At 44.0% G+C, this 13,693-nt stretch overlaps 1 protein-coding gene across 10 annotated transcripts in view; it reads right to left on the reverse strand.

The window, feature by feature from the left end:
• GJC1 (gap junction protein gamma 1) overlaps positions 1-13,693 on the reverse strand; it is a 37,261-nt gene that overhangs the window by 15,830 nt on the left and 7,738 nt on the right. Inside the window, exon 1 of one of the 10 annotated variants that reach the window (XM_047435077.1) lies at positions 3,115-3,531. The exons of the other annotated variants lie outside the window; for them this stretch is intronic. The gene's annotated coding sequence lies outside the window, so the exon portion shown is untranslated. Of the gene's footprint in view, positions 1-3,114; positions 3,532-13,693 lie in introns of those variants that run through there. 10 annotated transcript variants of the gene reach the window in all.

A 13,693-nucleotide genomic window follows, 5' to 3' on the forward strand; every position in this document is an offset into this window, starting at 1 on the left:
CTGCAAGCTCCGCCTCCCAGGTTCACACCATTCTCCTGCCTCAGCCTCCCGAGCAGCTGGGACAACAGGCACCTGCCACCACGCTTGGCTATTTTTTTTTTGTATTTTTTTGTAGAGACTGGGTTTCACCATGTTAGCCAAGATGGTCTCGATCTCCTGACCTCGTGATCCACCCGCCTCGGCCTCCCAAAATCCTGGGATTACAAGCGTGAGCCACCACGCCCAGCTAATTTTGTATTTTTAGTAGAGACGAGGTTATCACCATGTTGGCCAGGCTGGTCTTGAACTCCTGACCTCAGGTAATCCGCCTGCCTCAGCCTCCCAAAGTGCTGGGATTACAGGCATGAGCCATCGCGCCCGGCCAAATGTGTATCTTTTAAGTAATTATTGTTATGAAAGAATTTCTCAACAGTTGAGCTTTTCAATAAAATTTTCTTGGGGGGAAGAATTGGTGATAAATCCTTCAGAGCTTATGTAAGTTCTAAAGCAGCCATTTTAACACATCCATTAGTAAGTATTGTGTACTGATTAAGCTGCAGACGTGGAAAATGCTGAACCCTTACAGTCTGGTTTTCCATAGACAATCCTAAGAGCCACAGAGTATGGGTACTCTATACCCACACTCTGAAGTCTTCGGAATGAGTATCGCTACGGTCTATGCTCTTGACCACAAAATGTTGAGAAGATCCACAACAACCAGGGGTTTTCTCCACAAAACTCGCTGGAGATCTGCAGACGGACTCCCCTCCATACCCCAGGTCTTCAGCTCTGATCAGTGCATGTGTGGGGAGGAGCGGGGATCTGGATACCTGATCCTCTCTATACTGGATGGACATCAATTAATTCATTTTTTTTTTTTAAACAGGGTCTCGCTCTGTTGCCCACACTGGAGTGCAGTGGTGCAGACCTAAGTCACTGCAGCCTCAACCTCTTGTGTCAAGCAATCTTCCCACCTTAGCCCCCTGCAGTAGCTGGGACTACAGGTGAAGGAACACTACCATGCCTGGCTAATTTCTGTATAGATGAGGTTTCGTCATATTGCCCAGGCTGGTCTTGTACCCCAGAGCTCAAGTGATCTGCCCACCTCAGCCTCCCAAAGTGTTGGGATTACAGGTGTGAGCCACCACACGCAGCCAATATAATTTCTTTCTTTTTTTTTTTGAGATGGAGTTTCGCTTTTGTTGCCCAAGCTGGAGGGAGTGCAATGGCACGATCTCAGCTCACTGCAACCTCCGCCTCCTGGGTTCAAGCGATTCTCCTGCCTCAGCCCCCCAAGTAGCTGGGATTACAGACATGTGCCACCACACCCAGCTAATTTTGTATTTTTAGTAGAGACAGGGTTTCACCATGTTGGTCAGGCTGGTCTCCAACTCCTGACCCTCAGGTGATCCACCCACCTCGGCCTCCCAAAGTGCTGGGATTACAGGCGTGAGCCACTGCACCTGGCCTTTTTTCTTTTTTTTTTTTTTTTTTGAGACAAAGTCTCTCTTTGTTATCCAGGCTGGAGTGCAGCGGCACCTGGGCTCACTGTAGCCTCAGCCTCCCCAGGTTCAGGTGATCCTCTCACCTCAGCCTCCCAAATACCTGAGACTACAGTTGCACGCCACCATGCCTGGCTAATTTTTGTATTTTTTGCAGAGAAGAGGTTTTGCCATGTTGCCCAGGCTGGTCCTGAACTCCTGGGCTCAAGTGATCTGCCTGCCTCGGCCTTCCAAAGTACTAGGATTACAAGCATGAGCCACTATGCCTGGCCTCTTTCTCTTAATATAATTCTGTGGGAAAAAAAATAGGCCGGCGCGGTGGCTCACGCCTGTAATCCCAGCACTTTGGGAGGCTGAGACAAGTGGATCACCTGAGGTCGGGAGTTCGAGACTGGCCTAGCTAACATGGTGAAACCCCGTCTCTACTAAAAATACAAAATTAGCCGGGCATGGTGGCACGTGCCCATAATCCCAGCTACTTGGGAGGCTGAGGCAGGAGAATGGCTTAAATCTGGGAGGCAGAGGTTGCAGTGAGCCGAGATCGTCCCATTGCACTCCGGCCTGGGCAAGAACAAAACTCTAAAAAAAAAAAACAAAAAACAAAAAACAAAAAAACCCAGCTGGGAGCAGTGGCTCATGCCTGTAATGCCAGCACTTTGGGAGCCCAAGGCGGATGGATCACGAGGTCAGGAGATTGAGACCATCCTGGCCAACATGATGAAACCCGCCCCTACTAAAAACACAAAAAAATTAGCCGGGTGTGGTGGTACACGCTTGTAGTCCCAGCTACTCAGGACTACAAGCTGAGGCTGAGGCAGGAGAATGGCTTGAACCAGGGAGGCAGAGGCTGCAGTGAGTCGAGATTGCGCCACTGTACTCCAGCCTGGCAACAGAGCAAGACTCTGTCTCAAAAATCAAATCAAAACAAAACAAAACAAAAAACCCATAACATTAAAACCCATTTATGCCTATTGTTCCATTACTGGAACGCTACGCATGTGGGAGTTATTTATATCCTACTGTTCAAGATCATTGCCAAGGTCTGATTTTTTCAAATTCAAAAAATTGCAATCTCAGGCATAAATGGGTTAAAACAAACAAACACACACAAAAAAACCCATAATCACAGCTACTTACAAATGTTTTGGTTTTCCTTATGTCCTTCTAGTCTTTATCTAAATGAATACTCTTTCCAAATAACACTAATTTACTAAGGGATCTAGTAGTAAAAATGAACTTTTTTTTTTTTAATTGAGACAGAGTCTCACTGTCGCCCAGGCTGGAGTGCAGTGGCACAATCTCGGCTCTCTGCAACCTCCACCTCCCGGGTTCAAGCGATTCTCCTGCCTCAGCCTCCCGAATAGCTGGGACTACAGGCCCGTGCCACCATGCCCGGCTAATTTTTTGTATTTTTAGTAGAGACAGGGTTTCACCACATTAACCGGGATGGTCTCCATCTCCTGACCTCATGTTCTGCCCACCTCGGCCTCCCAAAGTGCTGGGATTACAGACGTGAGCCACCACGCCCGGCCAAACTTCTCTTATACTTGTTTACTATTTGCATTTCTTTTTGTGTAAATGTGTTTATCAACTTAACTCCAACATCTCACAAAATGGGTGACGAGCAACTAACCTTCCTTCCTTCTCCTTTCCTCCCTTTCTCTTTTTTTTCTTTGAGACAAGAGTCTCTGTCACCCAGGCTGGAGCACAGTACCGCAATCTCAGCTGACTGTAGCCTCCGTCTCCTGGGTCCAAGCAATTCTCCTGCCTTAGCCTCCCGAGTAGCTGGACTACAGGCGCACACCACCACGTCCAACTAATTTTTAGTAGAGATGGGGTTTCGCCCCGTTGGCCAGTCTGGTCTCGAACTCCTGACCTCAGGAGATTCACCCTTCGGCTTCCCAAATGCTGGGATTACAGGTGTGAGCCACCGCACCCAGCTGCAATCTTCTTTCTAAAATAAAGAACCATGAGTTTCCTAAAATGAATGGCAGTATCACCAATGTTTTTACCTATTGAGTCAGTAAGTTTTTCTTGGATACTCTTCCCTTTCCTCTCCTTCCAAGTTACTTTTTTTTTTTTTTTTTTTTTTTTTGAGACAAGAGTCTCTCTCTGTCGCCCAGGCTGGAGTGCAGTACCACGATCTCAACTTACTGCAGCCTCCATCTCCCGGGTTCAAGCAATTCTCCTGCCTTAGCATCCTGAGTAGCTGGGACTACAGGCACACACCACCACGCCCAACTAATTTTTGTATTTTTAGGAGAGACAGCGTTTCACCATGTTGGCCAGGCTGGTCTCCAACACCTGACCTCAGGTGATCTGCTCACCTCGGCCTCCCAAAGTGCTAAGATTACAGGCGTGAGTCACCACGCCCGGCCACAAGTTACCCATTCTTACTCTCAGTGAAATGTCAAATAATTCCTGGGAGATGAGTGCAGTCTGGGGAACATTTTGAAAACATTAGTCCTCATTTCTGTAATGGGTCACTCATTCTCTAGGCAAGCCCCCTCCCTGGCAGCTATGTATTAACAAAGCATTAAGGATTGGCTTACAATGTTACAGAGTACAATACTCCTCCAGAGAAATTAAGATCATTTCAAGAAGTAGAATGAGTAGAAGGCAGGTTCTGGAATTAACATTTCTAAGCAGAATATGTCACTGCCAATTGTGGTCTCACTGTGGAGAAAAGTGGGTTCTTGCTCCACTGAAGTTTCCTTTCCCCTGAACCATTATTATTATTTTTTGAGACAGAGTCTTGCTCCGTCGCCCAGGCTGGAGTGCAGTGGCCTGATCTTGGCTCACTACAAGCTCCACCTCCCAGGTTCATGCCATTCTCCCGCCTCAGCCTCCCGAGAAGCTGGGACTACAGGTGCCCGCCACCACGCCCGGCTAATTTTTTTCATTTTTAGTAGAGATGGGGTTTCACCATGTTAGCCAGGATGGTCTTGATCTCCTGACCTCGTGATCCACCCACCTCAGCCTCCCAAAGTGCTGGGATTACAGGCGTGAGCCACCACACCCAGCCCTGAACATTTTATCTATTTTTTCTTGAATGGCTTCTTAAATTTTTTTTTAAAGAATGCTGCAATTCACGGAAGCACATAATTCAAAAGGATTCACTCACTCACACACAAAAAACCCTGGAGATCTGCAGAGGGGCCCCTCAGTCTTCAGAACTGATCAGTGCACATGTGAGGAAATGGTCTACATAAGGGACCTGAAAAGGTGCCTAAAATTCAGGACATAGGGCCGGAGCGATGGCTCACGCCTGTAATCCTAGCACTTTGGGAGGCCAAGGCAGGTGGATCACCTAAGGTCAGGAGTTCAAGACCAGCCTGGCCAACATGGCGAAACCCCATCTCTACTAAAAATACAAAAATTAGCTGGGCGTGGTGGCATGCGCCTGTAATCCCAGCTACTTGGAGGCTGAGGCAGGAGAACCACTTGAACCCGGGGGGCGGAGGTTGCAGTGAGACGAGAAGGCACCACTTCACTCAAGCATGGGTGAAAGAGCAAGACTCAGTCTTAGGAAAAAAAAAAAAAATTTCAGGACATAAGTCTTCTCTGGCTTCCCTGCTTCTGAAAACAAACTTGGTTATAGTGTAGGGGCTGAAAGTCTGAGATTCAGCTGTGAATGGCTCTCATGAATAAAAAATCATGTCTATACTCCATCTACAAATAGAAAATGACATGGAAGCACATGTCAAGTGGTGGAGATGGGTGGAGGCCAAATACCTCAATGTCTTTTGCTAATTAGTAAAGCACCAATTTTTTATTATTTTTTTGAGGCTGGGTCTTGCTGTCACCCAGGCTGGAGTGCAGTGGCATGATCTCAGCTCACTGCAACCTCCATCTCTTGGGTTCAAGTGATTCTCCCACCTCAGCCTCCTGAATAGCTGGGGTCCAACTGATTTATATGTACTTTTATACTTAATATCTTCGTGAATATATCCTAAATGCCTTGAGTTTATATCTATAAATTCTAGGAGGTGGTATTATTAGATCACAGGCAATGTAAATCTGCATGGTTTTTGCTTTGTACTGTCATTTGGTTTTCAAAAAAGGCACTAGTAATTTACAGTGCCTGGCAATGAATGTATACTTAAAACAACTTCACCTCCACCTCTTCAGCACTGTCATTATGCTCCTTTACTAGATGCAAAATGGCATTTCAAAATCATGTCAATTTTCATGTTTCTAAGACAGTAGGATACGTTCCCCCTCATATATCCAACCCCTTTGTGGGTTATTTCCATCCTTTTACCTATTTGTCTATAAAAGGTAATCTTGATATAGTATAGACATTGATTAATTGACATTTAATATAAACATCTCAGTTTATTTTACTGACTTCCTTCAAATTTTATTATTTTTATAGAATCGTATCAATTCTTTAAAAAATTAAAAGGTTGAAAAACTTGGGGCGCGGTGGCTCACGACTGTAATCCCAGCATTTTGGGAGGCCGAGGTGGGCGGATCATGAGGTCAGGAGATCGAGACCATCCTGGCTAACAAGGTGAAACCCCATCTCTACTAAAAATACAAAAAATTAGCCAGACGTGGTGGCGGGTGCCTGTAATCCCAGCTACTCGGGAGGCTGAGGCAGGAGAATGGTGTGAACCCGGGAGGCGGAGCTTGCAGTGAGCCGAGATCGTGCCACTGCACTCCAGCCTGGGTGACAGAGCGACACTCCGTCTCAAAAAAAAAAAAAAAAAAAAAAAAAAGTTGCTTTTTTCTAGAACGGCTTCTATTTTAAAAGATACTGCAATTCATGGTAGCCCATAATTCAAAAGGATTCACTCACACAAAGAAAACCCAAATACTGAAGAAAATCAAGTTTGCTTATATAACATTTATTAGACAGAAACCAAATGTGCTATTTTTAGTCTATTTTCCAAATAACTTAGACACAAATCTACCTTGTCTTACACTAGAAAACAGAATTTAAAAAAATTAGCTGGCATCAACATGGTAATAAATTATGTAATTCTCTCTCAAATTCTTATCTCAAGAGTTTTCTATAGGTTATATCCAAACAGACTCAAATTAACACTGTTTTTCTGTAAAACATAATTCAGTTTGTTTTGTTTTGTTTTTGGTTTTCTGAGACAGAGTGTCGCTCTGTCGCCCAGGCTGGAGTGCAATGGCGAAGTCTCAGCTCACTGCAACCTCTGCCTCCGGGGTTCAAGCAATTCTCCTGCCTCAGTCAGCTTCTCGAGTAGCTGGGATTACAGGCACTCGCCACCAGGCCTGGCTAATTTTTCTATTTTTAGTAGAGATGAGGTTTCACCTTGTTATCCAGGCTGGTCTCGAACTCCTGACTTAACTGATCCCTCTGCCTCGGCCTCCCAACGTGCTGGGATTACAGGTGTGAGCTACCGCGCCCAGCCGAATTAATAGGATTTTTGAAGATCAAATGTAATGAACATTATTTGAATTATTTCAGCAGGTAGATTCTAATATTAAACTCATTTTAAAGATGAGGAAATCAGGTTTAAAAATTTATAATTTGCCTGCCAGGCGCAGTGGTTCACGTCTGTAATCCCAGCACTTTGGGAGGCCAAGGCGGGCGGATCACCTGAAGTCAGGAGTTCGAGACCAGCCTGACCAAGATGGAGAAACCTGCCTCTACTAAAAATACAAAATTAGCCAGGCGTGGTGGTGCATGCCTGTAATCCCAGCTACTCAGGAGGCTGAGACAGAATTGCTTGAACCCAGGAGGCGGTGGTTGCAGTGAGCTGAGATCGTGCCATTGCACTCCAGCCTGGGCAACAAGAGCAAAAGTCTGTCTCAAAAAAAACCCACAAAAAACAAATAACTTTATTATTTGCCTAAAATCATCTACTTATTAAGTAGTGAAGCCAGAATTTGAAGTCAGGCAGTCTTGCACTAGAGTTTGGACTCTTTCTTGACCACTCGCTAGTAAAGAATTACATTACAGATGGAATTATGTACAGGTTCTATGTGACCCTAATCCCAGTCTTTAGGATCAGAACTGCAAAAGAAAAGCACAAGGCCAGGCACGGTGGCTCATGCCTGTAATCCCAGCACTTTGGGAGGCTGAGGCGGGCGGATCACCTGAAGTCAGGAGTTCGAGACCAGCCTGACCAAGATGGAGAAACCCTGTCTCTACTAAAAATACAATATTAGCCAGGCGTGATGGTGCATGCCTGTAATCCTAGTTACTCAGGAGGCTGAGGCAGGAGAATCGCTTGAACTCAGGAGGGGGAGGTTGTGGTGAGCTGAGATTGTGCCATTGCACTCCAGCCTGGGCAACAAGAGTGAAACTCCATCTCAAAAAAACCCAAAAACCAAAAAACTTTATTATTTGCCTAAAATCATCTACTTATTAAGTAGCAAAGCCAGAATTTGAAGTCAGGCAGTCTTGCACTGGAGTTTGGGCTCTTTCTTGACCACTCGCTAGTAAAGAATTACATTACCAATGGAATTATGTACAGGTTCTATGTGACCCTAATCCCAATCTTCAGGATCAGAACAACAAAAGAAAAAGCACAAGGCCAGGCGCGGTGGCTCATGCCTGTAATCCCAGCACTTTGGGAGGCCGAGGTGGGCGGATCAGCTAAAATCAGGAGTTTGAGACCAGCCTGGCCACCATGGTGAAACCCCATCTCTACTAAAAATAGAAAAATTAGCCAGGCGTGGTGGTGGGCACCTGTAATCCCAGCTACTCGGGAGGCTGAGACTGGAGAATCACTTGAACCCAGGAGGCAGAGGTTGCAGTGAGCTGAGATTGCGCCATTGCACTCCAGCCTGGGCGACAAGAGCGAAACTCTGTCTCAAAAAAACAAACAAACAAACAAAAAAATGCACAAACACCAGAAAGAAAATACATTTCAGAGTTTAAGATCTTAAAATGTAAAATGGAATGAAAGTTTAAAAGTAAAATAAAACAGAACAAGCTTTCTTGGTAGCTGGGGAGGAAGGAATAAACGGTATCTTTGACAAAAATGATTTATTTATTTAAGGAGGACAATTTATTTGGGCATTGAGAATAGGGAGACCACAAAACAACTATTAACCCAAGAAATCACTTCCACATATATCTTTGGAAAAGTCTCTAATAGTCTCATGTTAAAAAAAAAAAAAAAGGCCAGGCATGGTGGCTCACATCTGTAATCCTAGCACTTTGGGAGGCTGAGGCGGGCGGATCCCAAGGTCAGTTCAAGACCAGCCTGGCCAACATGGTGAAACCCAGTCTCTACTAAAAATACAAAAATTAGCCAGGCCTGGGCTACTGTAATCCCAGCTACTCAGGAGGCTGAGGCAGGAGAATTGCTTCAACCCGGAAGGCAGAGGTTGCAGTGAGCCGAGATTGTACCACTGCACTCCAGCCTGGGCAAGAGAGCAAAAGAGCAAAACTCCATCTGGGGGTGTGGGGCGGGAAGAAGCTGGCTGGGCGTGGTGGCTGACTCCTGTAATACCAGCACTTTGGGAGGCTGAGATGGGCAGAACACTTCAGCTCAGGAGTTCAAGACCATCCTAGACAACATGGCGAGACCCCGTCTCTATTTAAAAAAAGAAAACAAAAAACAAAACCTCTCAAGTTTTTCAAATCAAGCACTAAAAACCCCCCTCATTAACTTGTGTCCTGTTAAATTATTTTTATTATTTTACTGTGGTAGAATAGACATAAAATGTACTATCTTAAGTGTACAGTTCAAGTATTAAACACATTCATAGCATTATCAACCATCACCACTACCTCCAGAATTTTTTTCATCTTGTAAAACTGAAACTCTAGACCCAGAAACAGTAACTCCCCATTTCCCCTTCTCCCAGCCCCTGGCAATCACCATTCTACTTTCTCTATGGTTGTGACTACCTAATTATCTCATATAAATGGAATTATATATTTGTCTTTTTGTGTCTGGCTTATTTCACTCAGCATAATGTGTTCAAGGTTTATCCACGTTATACCATGTGTCAGAATTTCCTTCCTTTGGCCAGGCGCGGTGGCTCACGCCTGTAATCCCAGCACTTTGGGAGGCCGAGGCGGGTAGATCATGAGGTCAGGAGATCGAGACCATCCTGGCTAACACTGTGAAACCCCCTCTCTACTAAAAATACAAAAAATTAGTCGGGTGTGGTGGCAGGCGCCTGTAGTCCCAGCTACTCAGGAGGCTGAGGCAGGAGAACAGCGTGAACCCAGGAGGCAGAGCTTGCAGTGAGCCGAGATCACGCCACTGCACTCCAGCCTGGGCGACAGAGCGAGACTCCGTCTCAAAAATAAATAAATAAATAAATAAATAAATAAATAAATAAATAAATAAAAAGAATTTCCTTCCTTTTTAAGGCTGAATAATATATTCCATAGTATGTACATACCACGTTTTTTTTATCCATTCATCTGTTGACAGACACCTGGGTTGTCTACAACTTTGGCCACTGTGAATAATGCTGTTATGAACGTGGGTGTACAAATCATTCAATTCTTTTTTTTGAGGCAGAATCTTGCCTCGTCACCCAGGCTGTAGTGCAGTGGCATGATCTCGGCTCAATGCAACCTCTGCCTCCCAGGTTCAAGTGATTCTCCTGCCTCAGCCTCCCAAGTAGCCAGGATTACAGGCGTGTGCCACCACACCTGGCTAATCATTCAGTTCTTTTGTTTTAATATCCAGAAGTGGAATTGCTCTATCATATGGTAATTTTTAATTGGTTGAGGAACATTATCTTGTTTTCCACAGTGGCTAATTTTTTTACATTTTTAGTAGAAACAGGGTTTCACTTTGTTGGCCAGGCTGGTCTCAAACTCCTGACCTCAGGTTATCCGTCTGCCTCAGCCTCCCAAAGTGCTGGGATTACAGGCGTGAGCCACGGCTCCTGGGCGAAAAGTGATTCTTAACCTTGAATTTTGTGAAACTAAGCAAGCAATGGACTAGAAGGCAAGAGATTCTAATCCCAGAATATAATCCATGCACTTCAGGAATAAGTTCTTTCCATATCCTAATTTCTGAAATAAATGAAGAATATCAAGTTAGATGATTTCTAAAATCTCTTCCATTTAACATTTGATGAAAACTATCTCAGAGTAAAATTCACCAAACTGACAAATTATGTGGAACTCAAAAGTCTAGGGATAGGAGAAAAGTAAAGTAATAGCAGTAAAATTAAACAATATAACAAGATGTCAAAATTTTAAAAAGGCACTTCCCAAACGATCATTTCAGAAAATTTGCGGTTGGACTAAATTTAAAAATTTCAATATTGACTCACTGTAATTCCAAAGTAGGTATTAACAATCTAGGCATCCCAGCTCATGAGCTGAGCAATCCACTAAGAATCGTGCTAGTGACTCATACCCCTGAACGCGACTGCTTTATGTGCAGAGACCAGGAATCAATTAAAGGGTTTACAATGAAGTGTTGTTTAACTGGAACGTTTTAAGTGGAAGTTAATTCCACATGAGTGATAATAGATGTTTAATAACTAGCTCGTGACAATTTCTAAGCAAAAGCATTACAGCAGCTAAGTAGCACATAGTAATCTATGTGCTACAAACATGAAAACAACTTGTTTTCAAAAGAGCTCTTGGCTATGAATATTTGAAAAACCTAAAATATAATTTGTGGCGAATCAAATTATAAAATCTCATGGAGAGTGAGTAGTTTGAGATCTTGGCTGTATCAACCAATGAGGAAACAAAAAGCACCATTGTGGGTTGAAGTGCCAATTTTCGCTGGCAAAAAGCCATTCTATTTGAATGTAAGAACCTTCAGGAACCAGCTGGAGAAGTATGAGGAACCTGGGATAGGGATAATATATTCATTCACAACATATCCTAAGTGGAACTGTCTTCATGCAAACAGGACAATATTGGAACATTTGTCCAAAACAGCCTAAGATTAGGTCAAACCAACTGTTCTGAACAATGCTCAGTCTAGAAAAACGAACATGTCTAAGACAAAAATAAATGTATGATTTTCCAATATGACTACGTTTATGATACAAAATTTCTTTAAAAAAACCCAACCCATACCATCGGCTGGGTGCGGTGGCTCATGCCTGTAATCCCAGCACTTTGGGAGGCTGAGGCAGGCGGATCACCTGAGGTCAGGAGTTCGAGACCAGCCTGACCAATATTGGCGAAATCCTGTCTCTACTAAAAATACAAAATTAGCGGGCGTGGTGGCACACGCCTGTAATCTCAGCTACTTGGGAGGCTGATGCAGGAGAATCACTTGAACTTGGGAGGTGGAGGCTGCAGTGAGCCAAGATCGCGCCATTGCACTCCAGCCTGGGCAACAAGAGGGAAACTCCGTCTCAAAAAAAAAAAAAAAAAAAAAAAAAAAACAACAAAAAAACACCAACACCCATACCATCATACACCAATGGTGTCATCTGGTACAACTTTTCTGGAAGGCATCTTGGCAACAGTTATCAAGAACTTTAAAGTGCTTATATCCTTTGATCAATAATTCCACATTTAGTAATTTACCCTAAACAAATACAGGGCATTTATTATAAGAAACACATATAATTAGGTTGGGTGCGGTGGCTAACACCTGTAATCCTAGCACTTTGGGAGGCCGAGGCAGGTGGATCACAAGGTCAGGAGATCAAGACCATCCTGGCTAACACTGTGAAATCCTGTCTCTGCTAAAAATACAAAAAATTAGCCGGGCATGGTGGCGGGCGCCTGTAGTCCCAGCTACTTGGGAGGCTGAGGCAGGAGAATGGTGTGAACCTGGGAGGCGGAGCTTGCAGTGAGCCAAGATCGTGCCACTGCACTCCAGCCTGGGAGACAGATCGAGACTCCGTCTCAAAAAAAAAAAAAAAAAAAAAAAAAAGAAACATATATAATTTATGGTATAACCTCCATAATGGAATATTGTACAACCATTATGGGGGGAATAAGGAGGGAGTAACTGCTAACGGGTATCAGGTTTCTTTTTGACGGAATAAAAACAATCTAAAATATTCTAAAATTAGGGTGTGTTGGCTCATGCCTATAATCCCAGCACTTTGGGAGGCCGAGGCGGGTGGATCACCTGAGGTCAGGAGTTCGAGACCAACCTGGCCAACATGGTGAAACCCTATCTCTACTAAAAATATAAAAAATTAGCTGGGCGTGGTGGCAGGCGCCTGTAATCTCAGCTACTCGGGAGGCTGAGGCAGGAGAATCGCCTGAAACCGGGAGGCAGAGGTTGCAGTGAACCAAGATCATGCCATTGCACTCCCGCCTGAGCAACAAGAGCGAAACTCCATCTCAAAAAAAAAAAAAAAAAAAAAGAGTCCAGCCTCAGTAAATTGTGTGATAGAGCCACTTAATAAAATAGAGTACACTGAAGAAAGTCTAGGTGTGGGGCCAAGATGAAGAGCTCACTTTGGACAACACAATTCAAATTACCTCCTCTGAGTATCTCTGTGGAGATGTTGAACAGGCAGCCAGGATAAAAAAAGAGGTCTGGCTACAGATAAAAATGTGGCAGTATTCAAAATATATATGGTAACCGAAGCCACAGAATGGATAATTTCAGGAAGGAAAATTTTGAATCCAAATAAACATCTACTCTGGATGGGCAATTAGGAATTCCAAGTCCAAGAATGACTCAAGGGGAATTCCTAAAATAGAGTCCAGCTCTAATTTGAACGTTCCCAAAAGGAATGTTATAACTCATTAGTTAAGTAATAATAAATTAAGCCAAAACTGATAAATACTACAAACATGTGAATGAAAATAATCTCTATAACTATTGGGAGTTGAATATAGTTTAGAGATTAGAGGATAAGAATAGGGGTGTGTGAAGTTTATCCGATTTATATAGAGGAAAAACATCAAAACTTACTCTGAAACCCTATGCATTTCTTTCCTGTTTTTTTTTTTTTTTTTTTTTTAAGACGGAGTGTTGCTCTGTCACCAGGCTTCAGTGCAGTGGTGTGATCTCAGCTCACTGCAAACTCCGCCTCCCGGGTTCAAGTGATTCTCCTGTCTCAGTCTCGCAAGTAGCTGGGACTACAGGTGTGTGCCACCAGGCCCAGCTAATTTTTGTATTTTTAGTAGAGACGGGGTTTCACCATGTTGGCCAGGATGGTCTTGATCTCTTGACCTCATGATCCCCCCGCCTCGGCCTCCCAAAGTGCTGAGATTACAGGCGTGAGCCACCGTACCTAGCCTCTTTCCTCCTTTTTTTTAAAATTTCTTATTTTTGTAGAGACAGGGTCTCATCATATTGCCCAGGTTGGTCTTGAAC

This window comes from Homo sapiens, chromosome 17 (assembly GCF_000001405.40).
Source record: "Homo sapiens chromosome 17, GRCh38.p14 Primary Assembly".
NCBI lineage: Eukaryota > Metazoa > Chordata > Mammalia > Primates > Hominidae > Homo > Homo sapiens.